The sequence below is a fragment of the Homo sapiens genome, chromosome 10, assembly GCF_000001405.40.
Source record: "Homo sapiens chromosome 10, GRCh38.p14 Primary Assembly".
Lineage (NCBI taxonomy): Eukaryota > Metazoa > Chordata > Mammalia > Primates > Hominidae > Homo > Homo sapiens.
In genome coordinates, this window is record NC_000010.11 from 15305508 (window position 1) to 15326591 (window position 21084).

Genomic DNA, 21084 nt, shown 5'->3' on the forward strand with positions numbered 1-21084 from the left:
AAATTAAAAGCTTAGCCTGGTGTGGTGTGCATGCCTGTAGTCCCAGTTACTCAGGGGGCTTAGGTGGGAAAATGGCTTGAGGTCAGGAGTTTGAGGCTGCAGTGAGAAGTGATCATACCACTGTACTCCAGCCTGGGTGACAGAGTGAGATCTGGCTAAAAAAAAAAAAAAAAAAAAAAAAGATCAGAAGAGTGAATGAAAAATTTCAGACTTTGGACAGCAAAAAATCACTGAAGATTTTTGAGCAGGGAAGTGGTTAATTGTACATCCAATATGCAAATTGGACTGCCACAGAAGGACACTGTGGGGTGAACCCATGGTGAAAGTCCAGCCCTAAAATCGGAGAAAGGCTTGCTGGTGCCTATGTGCCTGTGCACGAACACGGGGACAGACATAGGAGGAAGACTAACGCCAAACTTCAGATCCTCTCTCAACACAGGCGAGGAGGGTGGCCTGGACAGAGCTCTTAGTGGAACTGCTCTCAAAATATCATCAGAACGGGGTCTGACAGCATGGACAAGATCATGCAAAGGAATCGCACAAATAGAGCATGATCCATGGATAACATGATAAATGTATCACGGGCATGGGTCTCGTGTGCAACTCGACCGTATGTTTCTTGCTGGGGCAAGCCCCTATCTTCACATTCAGATGTGCATTTACCTGAATAATGTGATTGAGAAGATTTTAAGTTACAGATTTCAATTCAGGTGTTTCACTGAGGCTATGACAGGTAAACTGTTTGGGGTTCTTCTTTGAAAAAGTCAAATTAAAATATTTAAATTGTGCAGAGGAAAAAATGCTTACATCATTGTCATCAATATCAATGTAATTTATTTAACCCTTTTAGGATTAGCCATTCTTTTTTTTTTTTTGAGAGACAGTCTTGCTCTGTCACCCAGGCTGTAGTGCAGTGGCACAATCTTGACTCACTGCCACCTCTGCCTCCTGGGTTCAAGCGATTCTCCTGACTCAGTCTCTCGAGTAGCTGGGACTACAGGCATGCCCCACCATGCCTGGCTAATTTTGTGTATTTTTAGTATAGACGGGGTTTCACCATGTTGGCCAGGCTGGTCTCAAACTGCTGACCTCAGGTGATCCACCCGCCTCAGCCTCCCAAAGTGCTGGGATTATAGGCGTGAGCCACTGAGCCTGGCATAGCCATTCTTTTTCAATGGACTGTCACGACCATCAGATTTAAGGTGAAGAATCTCAAGGATGACCACCCAAAAATATAAATGAGGGCAGTGACTGAAAGCCACATCTTAAGTACAACTATCTGCAGCCAGAGAAGCAGCAGTTCCATCCAGAATCCTTTTCTTCTACTCAATTAGGTCCTATCCACCTTCTCACCGGAACTAAGTCCAGCTGACATCCATCATGACTAACACTCCTGCCAGACCAAGCCTCCTAGAGCACGGCTTTCCATCACGCCATGTGCCCTTCAAAAACACTCAGTGATTCTGAAGACACGGAACCCTCTCCAGGGCTTTCGGTCACTGCAGTTCACAGGTGCGGATATCCACTTACATCCAGGGTACTGTGGAAAGGCTCTCTGTTGGGTGACCTTATTTCCTGCTTCTATGTGCTGACCCAGGAGCATGAGGATGACACCATCAGCCCACCCGCAAGAGGGCACATACCTTGATTTGTTTTTCAGAAAGTTGGAATCTGCACAAACCCTGCAAATTCCCATTTGCTTGCAGGGTGCAAATGCATGTCATATACACAGGCCATATGGGGGCTGAACCTGCAACCCTGACACGACACAGACGTGATTCTAACAGGCTGAGCTAACAGGCCATACACAGGATCAAATAGTGAAGATTCCATCTTAAAGTAGAAAGCGACTTGAGGCCGGGTGCAGTGGCTCACACCTGTAATCACTGCATTTTGGAAGGTTGAGGCGGGTGGATCACCTGAGGTCAGGAGTTCGAGACCAGCCTGGCCAACATGGTGAAACATCGTCTCTACTAAAAACACAGCAAATTAGCCAGGCATGGTGGCAGGCTTCTGTAATCCCAACTACTCAGGAGGCTGAGGCAGGAGAATCGCTTGTATTCGGGAGGCAGAGGTTGCAGTGAGCCGAGATTGCACCACTGCACTCCAGCCTGGGCAACAAGAGTGAAACTCCATTTCAAAAAAAAAAAAAAAAAAAAAAAATGCGACTTGAAGAAGATCTCAAAACAGTTCTACCACCACAAAACCATGGGTATATTCTTCCAATACTGTGATGTTTCCTTCCTAATCAACCAACCAATAAGTCTTATTTAGGAGCACAGAGGCAATGTGGGGGAATTAATGCCTTTTTTTTTTTTTGAGACAGCATTTTGTTCTGTTGCCCAGGCTGCAGTGCAGTGGCTACAGCTCACTGCAGCCTCGAATCCTTGGGCTCAAGCGATCCTCCTACCTCAGCCTCCCAGGTAACTGGGACCAAAGGCACATGCCACCATACTGGGCTCATTTTTTATTTTTTAATTTTTTTGTAGAGATGAGGTCTAGCTATGTTGCCCATGCTGGTCTTAACCTCCTGGCCTCAAGTAATCCACCTCGGCCTCTCAAAGTGTTGGGATTACAGGCATGAGCTACCAGGCCCAGAAAAATTTTACTTTCATTAGGAAGTGTTAAACAATGTTGTCACTCTCATGCTGTCCACACTAACATTTGTCTTTCAAAATCAGTGGTTGTCAGGCACACAATCTAACTGCAACACATTATACTCTACTTGCAAGTATACAATCAGAGTACATAGGATTTACTTAGGAAGGGCATATACTCTCATGTCAGAAAGCAAAGCAAAATTGCTACCTCATTGTGAAAATTAATAAATGCTAGGGGGAGGTTATAAAAGGAAATCTTGTAAATAGACAAACATCTGCTAACACTGAGTTTTCAAAAGCAGAAAGTTTTTAAAGATACCGAACAGCTCGGACATCTTATCTTGACAAACTCTATTTTATTTCTATTATTTTTTGAGATGGAGTCTTGCTCCATTGCCCAGGCTGGAGTGCAGTGGCACGATTTTGGCTTACTGAAACCTCCGCCTACCGGGTTCAAACAATTCTCCTGCCTCAGCCTCCCGAGTGCAGATTGCGCCATTGCACTCCAGCCTGGGCAACAAGGGCAAAACTCTGTCTCAAAAAACAAACAAACAAACAAACAAACAAACCCCAAAAAACAGGTTTTCCACTCCAAGCATTAGTGGGTATTTTGTTTGTTTTTACAGCACTGACCATTTTAGTTCCTTTTTAAACCTGAAGGGTTGCAAAGCCACATTAAGGTCATCACAAGCAGTAATCAAGGAGCAGACATCACACCCAACTAATTTTTGCATTTTTAGTAGAGATGGGGTTTCACCATGTTGGCCAGGCTGGTCTCGAACTCCTGACCTCAAGTGATCCACCCGCCTCAGCCTCCCAGTATGCTGGGATTACAGACGTGAGCCACTGCAGCCGGCTGACAAAGCCTATTTTAATCAGTATTTCCATAAATTGTTATTTTTACAACTTAAAAAAACCAAATAAAATCTTAGCATGAACAACTATTCCTTATTGCAAACCTGGTCCTACTTTGTATTTTGAATATTCAGCTTTCTTGCTCATTTCTTACTATGTAATCTGTAAGCAATAAATTAATGGATGTACATAACATAAACATGAACTTAAATGTAATACAAATTAGGAACAAGCAGAAACCAAATTTAACTTACTACTATTTTTGAGACAGGGCCTTGTTCTGTTGCCCAGGCTGGAGTGCAGGGGCACGATCATGGCTCACGCAGCCTCGGCCTCCCAGGCTCAAGCGATTCTCCCACCTCAGCCTCCCGAGTAGCTGGGACTATAGGCACACACCACCATGTCTGGTTGTTATTTTTATTTTTCGTAGAGATGGGGTCTCACTATGTTGCCCAGGCTGGTCTTGAACTCCTGGTCTCACGCAATCCTCCCGCCTTGGCGTCCCAGTGTTGGGATTACAAGCGTAAGCCACTGTGCCTGGGCAAGTTTATCTTATTTTTCTAATGCACATATTTACTGAAATAACCAATGAGCTGAACACTGGCTCACAACTCATGATTTAAAAGCTATGTAAAGCAAACCACAGCATTCAAAGTCTTGGCCGACAATTGCCCATATTTAAAATGAAATACTCAATAGCATGTGAACTTGAATCTACAAACAAAACAAAGTATTTGGAGGGGAAGAAGCTAATCCCACCTAACTTCTAAAGACTTTCCTCAGGACTTGCAGGAAATCTGCATTTTCTATGCCTTCTTTTCTCCAATGTGAAAAACAAATGAATTAAAATTGCAGGTAATATTTACCTGTGCTGCTAATATTTAAACACAGCAAACTTTCAGTGATCATTAAATTATTTTTGCTTAGTGACTGGGTAAATGTTCAGTTAGGAGGAAAGAACACAAAAGATATGTTTAATTTCTAACCTCTAATCTCTAACGTTTGTAGTCTCTGGTATTTTTGTTGAGCAACAAATACAAGTTGTCTTTGGGTGTAGGACGCACTAGCCTAAAACTAAAAAAGTTGGGCTTAAGAATCCGATGATACTTGATAGTCAAATTTTCTTTCTGGCCTTCAAAAACCAAATATATAAAAGAATGGCCAGTTTCCAGTTTCTGTTGCAATGCCTGTGTGGGGGCAGGTGCAGACTGGGGGAAAGTGTTTGGTGAGCAGGAATTTGGTGGGTAAGAGGAACGAAAAATTTTTTAAAATCCCTAAACAGCATCTTTTTTATGTATGGGATAATCTAGTTTCCAATAAATCATCACACGGTTTCTCTTATTTGATCTTAATGTTGTGACACAGGTTAGAGCAGGTAATACCCTTGGGTTGTTGTAAAGGAAAGGGTGACCTAAGAAGGTTAAACATGTCCTACAAATGGCAGAGCTGAGATGCAAACTGGTCTGGTCTTGTGACCCACTGCCTTGAATGCAGAGTACCGTGACCAACCTGGCCCCTCTCCCACAGCCTAACCTGTTCTGCAACCCAATACCAAATGTTCTCTCCAACTGACCCGTCTTTAAAACGAAAACTCCTTCTAGTATAAAGACCCATTGGGGCTGGGCATGGTGGCTCACACTTGTAATCTCAGCACTTTGCGAGGCCAAGGCAGGAGGATCACTTGAGGTCTGGAGTTCGAGACCAGCCTGGCCAACATGGTGAAACCCCGTCTACTACAAATACAAAAAAATTAGCCAGGCGTGGTGGCGCGTGCCTGTAGTCCCAGCTACTCAGGGGTTGAGGCAGGAGAACCGTTTGAACCAGGAAGGCAGAAGTCGCAGTGCATGACAGAGCGAGACTCTGTCTTAAAAAAAAAAAAGACCCATTGGGTTTAAGCCTGAAGCCTCCAGAGGGTCTCCTTCCCTTTCCATCTCTCTGTACCTGGAAGGCAGCTCTGTGGCAGGATGGACCCCAAGCACGTGGGTCTTGGAGCAGGGCTGGGAAGACAGAGCCCTCCAGGAGGGGCTGAGTCCAGGCCAGCATGAGATACAGGGGACCTAGGGCTGCTGGAAGGATGGGCTGCTGGGGCGTATCTCTGTTCCAAGCCTTATCCCTGCTCTTCATGCAGTTACAGCCTGATAGGCCCACCCACAGGCTACTGCCCCCTGTTCCTCAAACAATACACATTTACAGTTGTTGCCTTTAAAAAGAAAAAACAGGCCACTTATTTTACACTCAGGGTCTAAGCATTTCTGTTTGCAGAGACTGGGCAGGCTTCTGTATCTTTACAAGCACATGCTTTCTGCAGCATGGGTATATTCTCAATGTATTTGTTGCAGGATTGTCTATTTTTGCATTTGACATTTCAATGACTTAGAGGGGGAGGAAGAAGATTGGAGAAAAAAATTAAGCCTATATTCCCTTTTAGTTATTTTTGACCCACTTGCTGCAAAAATAGGGAATGGCACTGGAAGGCTCCACTCTGTAGGAAGTAACCTTCGCCTTCCCTGGGTAAATGCTTTTGTTTCCTCCTTCAAACAGATTGCATTGCTCTCCTGGCATTAAAAATGAGAAATAAATTTAGCTTCATCTCCATATATCCTGGGATTCCCCTTAAATAAGCTCTAAAGCATTCTTCTGGGTGGCTTAGTATGAAATGCAGTCCCTGGTTTCTTCCCGCCCCACAGCCCCCTAGTAAGCCGCCCCACCCCACCTGGGAGGCATAGAGTAGGAGGTGATTGCTCTCAAGATAAAGAAGGCGGCATCACGTTTTCCCCCTGGAAGAACAGAAGCACCTGAGGTCCAGGAGAGTAAAGGAGAATTCTCCTCTGCCTAGCCTTTTCTGTGCATGTGACAGGGTATTTTCTCTCATTCACAGTCAATATGGCTTTGATAACAGCTCCAAGAAAAATGATGCCTAGACAGTGCTAGTCCAAGGTGCCAGTGAAACTGAAGGCCTCATCCTACATGTGAATGTTCCTCACGTACATTACGTGATTATTTACTGTTACAGTGAGGTATGTGAGATCAGCCCCATTTTTAAAGACAAGGAAGCTGACTCGGAGAAGGTGAGTGACCTGCCCAGGGCACACAGCTGCCACCCAGCAGAGCTGAGATTCAAGCGTGCATCTTCTAAATCTCGTGCACTTCCTATTATACCAAAGCTGCCTCCCATTCAAGTTCCAGGCATGGCCTTTTGAATCGGACCAGATCGGGTCATCGAAAGAGAGGATCAAAAGCCCCCTGCTTATAAAAGTGAGCTTGAAAGAAGAATAGGAAAGAAAATATGCTTCATAAACAAAGCAGCAAGGTTAGAAATGGAGAGACGCTCACTCCAACTGTCACTCTAAGTCTAAAGCCCTGTTGCTTACTCGCTGCTGAACTCCAAAAGGAGTCTGCTGCTATGGTGGGGAGCTTTCGAATATTTTTAAAGCCTCTGAACCCTTTAAAGATAAAATGCTATGCTGACACTAAGTAAAATTAGAGCTTGCTCTGGTTAAAGCCAGTGGGGCAACACTGGGGGTATGCACGAGTCTCGGGGGGCTCCACCTTCTCAGGGACCCTCTCCTGTCCCTCCATACCCCCAGGGCTGTGCAGCTCAGATTGTGGCTCACAGAGGTGCCCGGCTGCAAACTGAACTGTTTGTTACTCTTTTTAAAAATCTGTCACCGGAATGTAAATCAACTACTGGAATGAGTTCAGCACTGTGTGTTTTTTTTTTTTTTTTTTTTTTTTTTTTTTTTTTTTTTTTTGAGACGATATTTTGCTCTTGTTGCCCAGGCTGGAGTGCAGTGGTGCAATCTCGGCTCACTGCAAACTCCGCCTCCGAGGTCTAAGCGATTCTCCTGCCTCAGCCTCCTGAGTAGCTGGGATTACAGGCCCACCACCACGCCCGGTTAATTTTTGTATTTTTAGTAGAGATGGGTTTCACAATGTTGGCCTGGCTGGTCTCGAACTCCTGACCTCAGGTGATCCACCCTCCTCGGCCTCCCAAAGTGCTGGGATTACAGGGGTGAGCCACCGTGCCCGGCCTTGCACTTTTTTATTCTCTACTTTTGAGCGAGATGTTCTTGATGAAGCAAGCAGACCCCTGATTTCCATTCTGGCCTGGGCTCTGCATCTCCCTGTGTGCCAGGAACAAAGCACTGGCCCAGAAACCAGCTCCAGAGACACGTAGAGTCCCAGGGCACTGGATGGGAGCACGGTTCCTCCTCCGTGGAAACACACTGGGAATTCCTACTCTGACCCACTGCTTTGCAGCAGTAAACCTCCTGTTCCAGGACCCAGCAGCCTCAGGAGGAAAAACTCCAGCACTGGTGGCTGAAATGCTTTCAGGGTTTGCCACTCACTTTCCAGCCCTGGGCAGCCAGCCCATTCCATGCCTGTGTGGTTCTGGATATTAGAAAATCCTTTCTTTCCTTGAGCTAAAATTTTCCCTCTTGGAACTTCTCTGTCCTCGTGGTCTTAACTCTGGCACCAAGGGTCCAAGATTAACACTTAATCTTCCTCCTAAAGAACCAGCCTAGAAAGAAATTGAAGATGAAAATATATAAACCGTGGACTGCCTTTAAAGAGATACTGTAACAAGTCAGCTTTCTTACAATAAAGGAACTGACCACTTAGAAAATGCAGGAGAGTTCTGAGTACCGGTAGGTTTGTAACTCGTGAGTTTTTGCAGATTTCCAAGTCTTTCATAAGAAATCACATCCAAACGCCAAGGAAAATGAAGGTGCATACATAAACATCCCGAGGGTGAAGGAAAACAGCTTCCCACGGTGAATAATGCCATTCACGGTTCACATTGTCATCCTTAATTTGGAAGAAATAAAATATGTTTAATGGAAACTGCTTTAAGGTTTGCAAGAGTGTGTGATCAGAGAAAAGCAAGCCTCCACCTTCCCCAACCGAGGGTTGATCTGTTTCCTGCCAGGACAGAAGAGAACTTTGTGTGAATCCACACGCTCTGTACAAGGCAGAATCACTCCCCACTTCCTCGATCTGCATAGTGCAAGGCAACGACGGGATCTGGCCTCTCCTCCTGTTATCTTTCCTGAAGCCTTTTCTGTGTCGCTGGCAGATATTTCCTGTTGACACTGTGCCTCCCCAATCAGTTTCCACTGCCAGAACCCCATAATGTGAAGCGTGACACGCCAAGCGTCTGGTCATGCGGTATCTGGTAGGATAAACCGTCACCCTACAACTGGGGAAGGATTTCAAAACAGGAGGCACGTCGTGTGTTATTATAACAAAGGGCTGAATGCACATCACCATTGCCACTGAGATCTTAACATTCCTAGCAAAAAAGAAAAAAAAAAGAAAGAAATCTCCATGTGGCATGTTTTAGAGCTCTTATTTAAGTGGACTGACCAAATATCCAATTCTCAAACACAGTAGACCCCAGGCACTTGCAGAGTTTAACTTTGGCTGTTTTATCTATTTCTATGTCTTTTTGAGGCTGGCCATACGGGGAAGACTGTCATTTGCCTAGGGTGTGAATCAAGTCCATTGTATAAGGAACATGGGTTACCGGGTCCATCTGGCCAACTGTCCAATACCCCTGGCTTGACCTAAAATTGGGACCGAGGTGTTCTCGTTGAAGCAATCAGACCTGATTTCCATTTTGGCCTGGGCTCTGCATTTCCCTGTGTGACAGGAACAAATAATGGAATGCTGCAGTTTTCTGCATCCTATTATTTCGGGGGAAAGAGTTCAAGGGCCCCAGCACTCTTCTGCTTTGCTGGTGCAGATCAAGGCATTTCATCCCAACTCCAAAGACGCCAACCACGAAATGGCACAGGTTCCTGGCGTGCCCAGGTGGGAAGTTGGGGAGTATCCGCTGCCACATTCCTGTCACTTCTCACGAGCCCAGGAATGACTTCCAAGCCAGCACCCCTGCCACCTCGGCCTGGCCTGCAGCCGCGGGGAGGAGGCTGGTTGGCGCTGTCTGGGCCCTGTCTCTCCGGTTCCTCCGGGATGGGTGGCTGAGTTTCAGCTGAGCCTAGCCTTTCCTCATATCAGAATGGTACGATCTCAGACTCCAGTTTGGAATTCGAGAAGAGGTCACCCTCAGGCCTTTTTATTATTTTTTAAAACCAACCTGGTTGAGGTATAATTTAGATATAATAAAGTCCATCCATTTTAATGAAGTGTACAGTTTAATGAAGTTGGACACACGTATACACCTGTGTAATTCCTACCACAATGAGGACAGACAGACAACATTTCCGCCTGTCCTTGGATCCATCTAATATAGGAAGGCAGAGAGTGGTTCCACTCTGGAGCCAAGCTGCTCTGTCATGTCCTGGCTGTGATGGGCGCAAGCTGTCTCATCTTCCTTTGTCTCGGTTTCTCCCATCTGCAAAACGGGTCAAGTATTAACATCGAAAACACCGTACTTTGAGTGTTAGTTGTGTGGTTTGATATGTGTAGAACATTCACATCTGTGCAGGCCCGTGGCTAGCCTTTCACGGTGTGGGCTTTGTTATCATCACTATTATTATGAGAAATGGCTAAGCTTCCTTCTCAATGACAATGTCTCTACTGCAGAGCGTGCCTGTGACAGCACCCTGGAGAAATCACCTTTTAATACCACATTATCCCCTTATTCTAACAGACTTAGCACTTGTATCTGGGCAAATATTTGTTCACAAAGGTCTCAGCAAATCTCTTCAACCCAAAGAATTTACTCTATTCTCACTAATCGAGATCACAGAGACCTTGATCATGCTAGAAAGCCATCGCCTTACCTCCCTGGGATTCACCTGGTGTCCCCCCAACTCCCTAGTCCCAAGCTCAGGCCTTAAGAAGCTCTGATGTCCTTTTTATTGGAGACAAGGAGCGGCTGGAGAGGTGTTTGATTTTTACCTCTTTCCCCTTGCCCTCGCCCCCTGACTATCAATATAAGGTAGAAAATACAGAAAAAATATAAAGAAACAGAAAGAAAAATATAATCCCACATACACAACCCCAGCTCCCAGAAGCCACTAAACCTAACATCTTAGTATATTTCCCCCAGGTGTGTTTTTTTCTGCAATTTTTCTTTACACAGCAGGAAGGTTATGTTACATGTACATTTTTACAGTTTTAACTTCACTTTAGCACATAATTATTTTCCTTCGTCACTAAACCTCACGTTACGGATAACTTACCCTTTCATCTTACAGATAGGTCATATAATTATTCCTTATTTTGAACTCACAGGTTGTTTCTAGGTTTTCATTACTCTAAGTTTACAACAAGCACCCTTGTGCACGATGGTTTATCTTATTTGAATGACTGGGATTTCTGGGTTTGCTGAGCAGCTGTATTTTCTGTTTAGAGTGTCAGGCTGCCTCTGGAATGCTTGAGAAGCACCAGGGGTGGTGCCCCAGGAGGGCAGCGCGTGGCCTCCTTCCCTCACCAGGCCATTCCTGCTGCGTGTGTTTGTTCTGGGGCGTCCCGCAAGGTAAAGTCAACAACTGTCAGGTGACGGGCTTCGTGAGACCCTGCTTGTAGGAGAGCATTCCTCGGGGTGAGTCCATGTGTCTGGCTACCCTGGTTCTAAGAAACCATTCCAGTCTGCAGGCTCCAGACCTTCCAAGATGCTGACTTAGTGATGATAGAATGGACAGGACACCTCCAACCAATAACTTTTGTGCTTGCCTTTCAATAAGCAGGGAAGCCCAGGTGGAATCCCAGAAAGCAGCTGTTTCTGATCTCAAAGGTGAGATGCCAGGTTCTTACCTGACTGGCAGAAATCCAAACGTTGGATAATTTACTGTGTTGGCATAACTATGGCAAAACAGGCATTCAACGTTCACTCCCGGTAGGAATACAAGTGTGAATGGCCCCTCCGCAGGGATATCTGGCAACAACCATCACCAAAGTCTCCAACGCACATGTGCTTTGACAAGCAGTTTTACTTTAAAAGATTTATTCCAAGACAGACTCACGCATTCTCCAGCACAATGTAAAAGAGAAGACAGTTCTGCCCATCTGCAGCCCCACAGTGGGTCCGGGTGATGCAAGGACTGAAGAGTTCACCAGCACTGGAGCTGCCCCTGCTCTGTCTAGCAGGAGAGCTCCCAGACAGATCTCCTCTGGGAGAAAAAAAAAAAAAATCACAAGGTGGCAACAGTTGTATAGGAAAAAAATATAGGCCTTTCCCAGTCACGGAAACAGGACACAGGGAGGGGCCACCAGACAAAGAAAAGAGATGCAGAAAGAAAGGCGTATGTTGGGAGTGGGATGTGCAGACACTGAGGAAAGGCAAGGCCAGGAAGTCATGACGGGAGAGAGACAGGGGTCGCATTCAGCTTTAGAAACTTGAATGCCACAGATAAGGGCTGGGTTTATCCTGCAGGCCAGGGGTCACTAACACGAAGCATAAAACTACTTATAAACAGTGCTATCTAAAAATGAAGTCTGGTTGCGCTCATATTTTATTTTTTTTAATTTTAATTTTATTTATTCAAGATGGAGACTTGCTCTGTTGCCCAGACTGGAGTGTAGTGGTACGATCTCAGCTTCTACGACCTCCACTTCCCAGGTTCAAGCGACTCTCCTGCCTCAGCCTCCCTACTAGCTGGGATTACAGGCATGCGCCACCACGCCTGGCTAATTTTTGTATGTTTAGTAGAGACGTGGTTTCACCATATTGGCCAGGCTGGTCTCAAACTCCTGACCTTGTGATCTGCCTGCCTCAGCCTCCCAAAATGCTGGGATTACAGGCGTGAGCCACCATGCCCAGCCTGCACTGATATTTTATACAGATACATCTGGCATCATGTAATTCATAAATATATACCCACTAGGGTCCATGCTCAATTTTATTTATTATTATTTATTCAGGCACTAATTTACTTTTTGAGACAGGGTCTTGCTCTGTTGCCCAGGCTGGAGTGCAGTGGCACGATCATGGCTTACTGCAGCCTCCATCTCCTGGGCTCAACCAATTCTCCTGCCTCAGCCTCCTGAGTAGCTGGGACTACAGGCATGTGCTACCACACCTGGCTAATTTTTAAAACATTCTTTTGCAGAGATGGGGTCTCACTATGTTGCCCAGGTTGGTCTTGAACTCTTGGGCTCAAGTGATCCTCCCGCCTGGCTTCCCAAAGTGCTAGGATTACAGGGGTGACCCATAGCACCTGGCCTCACACTCAGTTTTATCACTAGAGGTATGCAATCACAAAATTCTGGAGACACATGGTCTTGGCAATAAAGAGAGCTGAAATGTGACCAGCAGGAGAGGGGTGTGATGAGATACGGTGTAAGGAAGAATAGCAGGAGCCGGAAATTTTTCAGGAGCCAGAGATTCTTCCTCAATTCCCAGAGCCAGTGAATCCGGAGAAAGAGATTCGGGAATCCTCCCAGGTGGAGCTGAAGTTCTGCTTGGTCCTTCCCGGAAGGGAAAAGCTACTGAGCTCAGTGATCAGTCCCAGTGCTGCACCAAGAAGGGGTCACGAAGCTGGTTACTTATCTGCGTGCGGTAAGTCTATACAGAAAAAGGCAATCAACTTTGGCCTCTTGCAGAGAAATGCATTTGCCTTCCTCCAAGTAGTCTGTGTCCTCTAAGATGCTCCCTTTTGGATCCCGGGTGACAGAAATCTTGGGCCAAATCCCCTACCAAATGCCGGAGCTGGTTCCCATCAGTACGTAGGTCAGTTGTTTTTAAGAGTTGGAGGTGTGTGTCATCTCATGCTTTCTCTGTTAGAGTGTGTTTAATTCTATTTCCTCCCTTTCAAGTGTGTTTAATATTTTAATTCTCATCCCCTCCCTTTAAGACCTTATAGGAGTCTAGATGTGGGGCTGTCAATGGAGCACAGCACCCTAGCCTGGATACTGGAGATGGGGAGACCCTCACTATTTTGGGATCATACCTGTGCCTCTCTCACTACAGCAGAAGATGAGGCAGTTCCATGCTGTTACTGGCAAAGGTGTGACATCCTGATCCTTAGAGTCACAAGAGGGAAACTCAGGCCTGCTCATAGTTCCAAGAGGGTTTATAAACACTTGAGAGGGGACCAAAGGAGGAGAAGAACATCAAGAAGACCACAAAGTCACCAGTGTGACATCCACTGCCTTCCATACTTTGGTCTACAGGAGGCCATCAATGTGCTCAGAGAATAACCAGGAATGTTGAGTTGCAGGTGACACGTCTGGAGGGATAAAGGCTGACTCCACAGGGTGGAAAGGAGACATGGCACATATGTCCATTTCTACAGCATGCCTGTGGAGGTGACGGTCTTTCAACTGACTCATGGGATGTCTACCTCTTTTTCCATCAGTTGTTCATTCCAGCAGAAAAGTCCACGTTCACCAGAGAAGAAAAATGATACGTCTCCTTCCCCTCCCCCAATTACTAAGTGCCCAGGTGGGAGCTAAGCTATGAGGACACAAAGGCATAAAAAAGATACAATGGACTTTGGGGACTCAGAGGGAAGGATGGGATGGGGGTGAGGGATAAAAGAAAGAACAATAGTCCAGGGATTTTTTTTATTTTTATTTTTTGACATGGAGTCTCACCCTATTGTGCAGGCTGGAGTGCAGTGGCACGATCTTGGCTCACTGCAACCTCCACATCCCAGGTTCAAGTGATTCTCATGTCTCAACCTCCTGAGTAGCTAGAATTATAGGCATGCACAACCACAGCCAGCTAATTTTTGTCTATTTTGTAGAGACGGGGTTTCACCATGTTGGCCAGGCTGGTCTCGAACTCCTGACCTCAGGTGGTCTGCCCACCTTGGCCTCCCAAAGTGCTGGGATTACAGGCATGAGCCACCCCGCCTGGTCTGTCCAGGGATTTTGAACCTAGACCTTCTCAAAAGTCGGGTGGAGGTAGAGGAACCAACAAAAACAGACATAATCCCTTCATCCAAGAACTCAAGGAAGGGACAGAACCCATATAAAAGGTTTTGTAAAACTCTCCTCCATCTGTAACTCTTTTAATGAGAACATCAGGTAAAAACATTTATCTATAATATAAAATATTCAAAAATTAGATTGACTTTTTAAACTTTTATTTCTTTCCAATTGTTATTTTAGCTTCAGGGGTTTGTGACATGAGTAAACTGCATGTTACATGAGTAAACTGCATGTCCTGAGAATTTAGTATGCAGGTTATTTTGTCACCCAGGTAATGAACATAGTCCCCAAGAGGTAGTATTTCTATCCTCACCCTCCTCCCACCCTCCACTCTCAAGTAGGCCCCGGTGTCTCTTCCCTTCTTTGTGTCCATGTATACTCAGTGTTTAGCTCCCACTTATAAGTGAGAACGTGGTATTCAGTTTCCTGTTCCTGCATTAATTCACTTAGGATAATGGCCTCCAGTTGATCCATGTTGCTGCAAAGCACATGATTTCATTCTTTTTAACGGCTGCATAGTATTCCATGGCATATATGTACCACACTGTCTTCTTCCAGTCCACCATTTGATGGGCTTCTAGGTTGATTTCACATTTTTGCTATTGTGAATAGTGCTGCGATAAACATATGCGTACATGTCTCTTTATGGCAGAACGATTTATATTCCTTTAGGTATAAATGTAATGGGATTGCCAGGTCGAATGGCAGTTCTGTTTTAAGTTCTTTGAGAAATTTCCAAATTGCTTTCCAATAGTGGCTGAACTAACTTACATTCCCACCAGCAGTGTATAAGTGTTCCTTTTTCTCCACAACCTCACCAGCATGTTATTTTTTGACTTTTTAATAATAGCCATTCTGACTGGTATGAGATGGTATCTCATTGTGGTTTTGATCTGCATTTCTCTAATGATAAGCATTTTCTTCCTGTTTGTTGGCCATGTGTATGTCTTCTTTTGAGAAGTGAGATTGGCCATTTTAGACCACACAGTAAGTTTGCACATAATAACTTTCATCTAATTCTAACTTAACAATCGTACTAACATTGTGTAGTAGAAAGACTGAAAAATTATCAATGAAAAGTATGAAAGGTTTTAAGCAATGCAGACAACTTTCACTCTGTCTAACACAAATTCTGCCTGGGTACTGTAACTGAAGAGAGTTTAATGGGGATGTAACACGGGTGAATGCTGTGTTGACCTTGGCATTCAAAGCCAGGATCACTGTCAAGTTTATGTTGGCTTATTTGACATCTGGTCATTTGGGGCCTGATTGAAGAGAGCCACCTAGAAGAATATCCTTATATGTTCAAGTTTGCTACTGGGGAAAGGTAGTCAAGATAATACGGCATATGTTTTTTGGAATATTCAAAGCACAAATACTAGATGCTTTAAATAAGAGAGAAGATGGTGCATATGAATTCCCTGCAGGAGAATTTCTGTTTAGGTAAGCGCAAGTTAACTGGAAAGTCCAGTAGACCCTGGGCCTTGATTTCCTGAAAGTGAACCCCAATTTATGTTCAGGGGTCTTGAGAAACAAGCTGTGTTCTCGTGTGGGCTGTCTGCCCTCTCCCATTCCTAGAAGGATACCTCTCTGAAATACTTACAAACACTTAACAATGAGAAGTCCACAGTGTCAAAACACTTCATGTCTCAGAAGCCACAAAACAGATTTTTTAAAAGCTTTTTTTTACAACTAAAACTATGCCCTGGTTTCACAGTCAAATAGTGGATTTCCAATTTTGTAACACTTTCACTAAAATAAAAACTTTTTTGGCAAACACCAACCACAAAGAAAAACCAAAAGACAAACTTTGAGTTTTTCTGAGTCTAGAATTTTGATATATGCAAATACTGGCATTCCTGGTCAGAAGCCTGAACCCTTTAATGAAAACAGAAAAGAAAGCTGAGGCTTCCAAACCAAAATGGTTTGAGCATTAAGTCAAAAAGAAAGACTGTGTTGCCTGTATTTCATATCATTACAAGCTCATAAAACTAGCCAGTCTCAGCCGCTCTGTAAGATAAAATGCTTAAGATAGAAATTCACCTAATAGTGGTTTCCAACTCTTTAGTTAAGCAAGGAACACACACAGCACTGGTTTTTATCTTATAATATTTGTCATGTAGTTGAGAAACAAATAGTAGATACTGTTGCTGACTTTGAGCCAAGACAGCCACATATGATTATGTGCCATGGTGCTACATTCTGCAGGAAATAAAATTCTAATGGTTCTAATTCCTTTCACATGAACTTGCTCACTGTGTCTCCATGCTCTGGTGGTAACCTCAGGCCCGATACAAGCATGGGTTATTATATCTTTTAAACCCTTTGCAGAGATTAGAAGGCTGCAGAAAAATACCATTGGGGGTTGAAAACAGCTTTCTGAAATTGTTCTAAATGGACAAATAATGCGTTGCTTTCTTTGACAGCTGTTCAATAACTGAATACAGCTGGAGGGGCCGTCGGCTGCCAAGGGATTTCTACTTGGTTCATGACCAGGTTTTCTTTTCCAGAATGCTTTCCAACACTCGAACTAGTCTTATTTATGTTAAGTGTATTTTTAAAAGAGGAATTTATTTTAATTATTTTCCATCCTGCTCCATCCATGTTACATAAAATAGTCTGCAGATTTAAAGGAATTGTCTTAAGGGTTAGCATTTCCCTCACCTGAACTGTAGCAGCAGCTAGGTGGAGTTAGGGCTGATTATCTCTAAGGTACCCCCAAAAGGACACTGCATGCATTCAGCTGCACTGATCTCCAGCTGGTACTATCAGTCATTGTTCCCAAACCCATTTAATAGTAACTGTTCATGTTTCAAGCCGACAGCCCGAAGGAAGACAGGGTTCTTCCAGACATAGCAAGGAAGCTGTCCACCAAGTAGCCCTCCAGAGTGGGGTCATTTTGGTAAATTCACCTCAGTGTTTGGGGTCTGGTCCTTAGCCCTGATGGAGATCTTGCCCCCAGAATGGACTTATCTTCATCAGGCATCAGAGACTGATCGATGCAAACAAATGACCAAGGTCTTCATTTGCAATAAAAAGTACACCTTTTTTTTGGCTGGGGGCAGTGACTCATGTCTGTAATCCCAGCACTTTGGGAGGCCCAGGTGGGTGGATCCCTTGAGGCCAGGAGTTCGAGACCAGCCTGGCCAACATGGCGAAACCCTGTCTCTACTAAATATACAAAAATTAGACGGGCGTGGTGGTGCACGCCTATAATCCCAGCTACTAGGGAGGCTGAGGCATGAGAATTGCTTGAATTTGGGAAGGGGAGGTTGTGGTGGGCTGACATCACACCGCTGCACTCCAGTCTGGGCAACAGAGCAAGACTGTCTCAAAAAAAAAAAAAAAAATTAAAACTTAAATTACAGGGCCGGGTGTGGTGGCTCATGCCTGTAATCCCAGCACTTTGGGAGGTTGAGGCAGGTGGATCAGTAGGTCAGGAGTTCGAGACCAGCCTGGCCAGCATGGTGAAACCCCGCCTCTACTAAAAATACAAAAATTAGCTTGGTGTGGTGGCACGCATCTGTAATCCCAGCTACTTGGGAAGCTGAGACAGGAGAATTGCTTGAACCCGGGAGGCAGGGGTTGCAGTGAGCAGAGATCACGCCATTGCACTCCAGCCTGGGCGACAAGAGCAAGACTCTGTCTCAAAAATAAATACATACATAAATAAAATAAAAAAACAAAATAAAGTACACCTCTTTTTAAGATGGCAATGGTATCATCATACGATCAGTACGTTCTCTCCCCTGCAGGCAGATCTATTCAACAAGCCAATTTATAATCAGAAATGGACTTGGTGGGCATATAGAATTAGAAAAAGGGGAGCTAATTATAGGATTCAAAACATTTTAATGGCATCAGGCTAAAACAGCCCAATGCATACACTTCCACAATCAGAACAGTTTTGTGAAAAGGACGTGGTATTTTATACCCTCTATGTTAGGATTTTACTTAAAGTGAGAAGCAATAAGAGTTGGAAGGAAGGAACACGGTATTAGGATTGCAGTGCCATACAGTGCCTAGTCTACTTTCAACAATTAAAAAAAAAAAATCCTTAAACACAGTGCAGTTTAAAAGCCATAGCACCTACTTGCCAGGAAAGACTTCCACTTTCAGTGCCACTAAAAATATAACAGTGAAAAAGTCCACATAGAGCATAAACCATTTCAAAATGGAGCATCAAAAATGGAAACGATGCTGGTTAGCCCATTTGCCAGCCCTGCAATCACGCAACTTTTAGCTCTAATTCCTGAAATTCATAAATAGTTGGCAAGCAAAGTGGCTCTTAGCAAGATAAATCTGAGCCTTAACCTCCACCCCAGCACGTGTAAAATTTAGGATGGAAATTAACATTCAGAATGCCTGGTTCTGATTAATGGAGAATTTAACACCAAGACATCTACTTGCTGCATGCGCAACTGAGACCCAACTTCCTTCCTTTCTCCGTCTTTTCCTAAAGGAAGACGGGGTGATTCAAGCAGAGAAGTCCACGCTCAGCAGGGTTTGCTTGGGGTAGATGCCCCAGGCAATGCAGGTCCTTCCCCCATCCTCAAATGACACACTCTTCAGGAGCTCCCTCCCGTTCTTTCTTTGGAGGAAACATTCTTTATGTACTGTAACCAAATATATTCTATCCCCATAACGTATCGTGAATATTCCAAATTTTTATCATCTTCTCCAGGCAATCAGCTACCTTTAGACTATACTAAAGTATTTTTTTGTGGCATCAGCTCCAGCCAACCTGCAGCCCCGTGCGCTAGCTGGCCATCCTGCACAGTCGGCTGAGATTTACTGTTGGTTTTCAGTGGTGGCTTCACTCACACTGCACACGTCTAACCAAGGAATGTTTAGAGGTTTCCTACTGACAATCTTAAAATCATCTTAACCACCAGCGTGGATTAAACAGCCTTAGTTTCAAGAGTGAGGGGGAAAAAAAAAAGTCCACAAAAAAAAGGACAAAAAAACCAAACCAACTCCACCATCAATATCTTTGTTGTCATGATAGAAACCACAACTTAGTCACGGATTCAGTAACATATCACAGGCAGACCAACTTGTACTAAATAAGGACTTTTACACTTCCAATCACTGAGTAGAAACATGTGCAGTGACTCGTTACAGCCAGCACTTGCACTCCGCATCTGAGGATTCCCAACAAAATGGAAAAGGCAAGGTGAGTGACAAGACTTGCGAAAAGCTAGAGGCACATCACGTGTGTCTAATGATAAATATCTAATGGGAATAAACTGGCTAATAATGAGATGAGCTCCCCACTCCTTTCCTCCTTCCCTGACAGCCAGGGGAGTTCTATGTCCTCTTTGGTGCAAAATGTATGCAGAAAACACTCTACAATTTCCAGCTGTTCCAGCTGTTCTTTCTGAAGCAGACAGAGAACTTTTAAGGACAGTTGAAGGCCCGGGGCTCACACCTGTAATTCCAGCACTTTGGCAGGCCGAGGTGGGCAGAACACTTGAGCCCAGGAGTTCGAGACCAAGCTCGAGATCAGCCTAGGCAACAAGGCAAAACCTCGTCTCTACGAAAAATACAAAAATTAGCCAGGTGTGGTAGCCCTAGTCTGTAGTCCCAGCTGCTTGGGAGGCTGAGGTGGGAGGATCACTTGAGTCCAGGCAGCTGAGTCTGCGGTGAGCTACGATGGAGCCACCGTACTCCAGCTTGAGCGACAGAGTGATACTCCATCTCTAAAAAACAAAACAAAAAAACTCCATCTTTTCTTTGCTTCTTTTCCAGGCCTTTCTGTGGACCCCAGATACTTCTAGCTTATGTCAGGGGCTTTCCATTATGCTGGAACTCACTTCCTGAAAGCTTACTGCGTTCCATGGGCCCCACGGAGTAGAATCAAGCTTTGATATTGGCTAAATCCTGGCATGGACATCCCATTTGTCTTATCTCCATGTTACACGCTCATCTTCGCCCACGGTCGTGCTTGGCTTCCACGTCCAATTGGACCAGGAAGTGAATGACGGGACATTGAGTGTGAATGCGGTAGGGAAGTGCTGTTTCACTCCGACCTGGGTGAAGATGAGTCATAGGAAGTAAAAAGAAAGGGCTCTGCCAAGTCCATCATCCTGTCCTCTCGCATTCATTTTAAACAATTCAGACTCTTACTTGTAAACCACATTTCTGACTGACTTCAACCCAGTACAGATTAAACATCGCTACATCAAATCACATTGTAAATACCCCAAGGAGGTTCAAGATTAGGAAATCCATCACGAACTGTTCAGCAAAAGAAATATAATCATTTTCCTCTGCAGCTAATTACTCCCTAATTTATCTGTTGGGAAAGTTTAGATTCTTCTATTTTATGTTCCATTAATAACTCAAGAGTCACCAGAGGACTTATGTTCTCTGCCTCCCCTGTAACCCATCATTTCACTCAGTCATTTCACTCATAGATCGTTTGGTGAAGTAGGCTCAGGAAGTAATTAAAAATTAGTCTCAAACGGCTGCCTTTGGTGAGAGGAAGAGTTTCCCACAATCCCACAATTCTTTTTTTTTTGTTTTGAGACGGCATCTCGCTCTGTCATCCAGGCTGGAGTGCAGTGGCATGCTCCTGGCTTACTGCAACCTCCACCTCCTGGGTTCAAGCGATTCTCCTGTCTCAGCCTCCCAGGTAGCTGGGAATACAGGTGTGAGCCACTACTCCCGGCTAATTTCTGTATTTTTAGTAGAGATGGGGTTTTGCCATGTTGGTCAGGCGGTCTCGAACTCCTGACCTCAGGTGATCCACCTGCCTCGGCCTCCCAAAGTGCTGGGATTACAA

General features: G+C 44.7%; 1 protein-coding gene across 3 annotated transcripts in view, besides 1 other annotated feature; it reads right to left on the reverse strand.

Annotated features, from left to right (window-relative positions):
- FAM171A1 (family with sequence similarity 171 member A1) overlaps positions 1-21084 on the reverse strand; it is a 162912-nt gene that overhangs the window by 93865 nt on the left and 47963 nt on the right. The window lies entirely within an intron of this gene.
- Positions 19491-20690: an enhancer, noted in NCBI's record as "MED14-independent group 3 enhancer chr10:15366997-15368196 (GRCh37/hg19 assembly coordinates)". NCBI's record gives its function as "activates an origin of replication core promoter dependent on BRD2, BRD4, P300/CBP and CDK7 cofactors, and independent of MED14, by STARR-seq in HCT116 cells {active_cell/tissue: HCT116}" and the evidence as "EXISTENCE:reporter gene assay evidence [ECO:0000049][PMID:35650434]".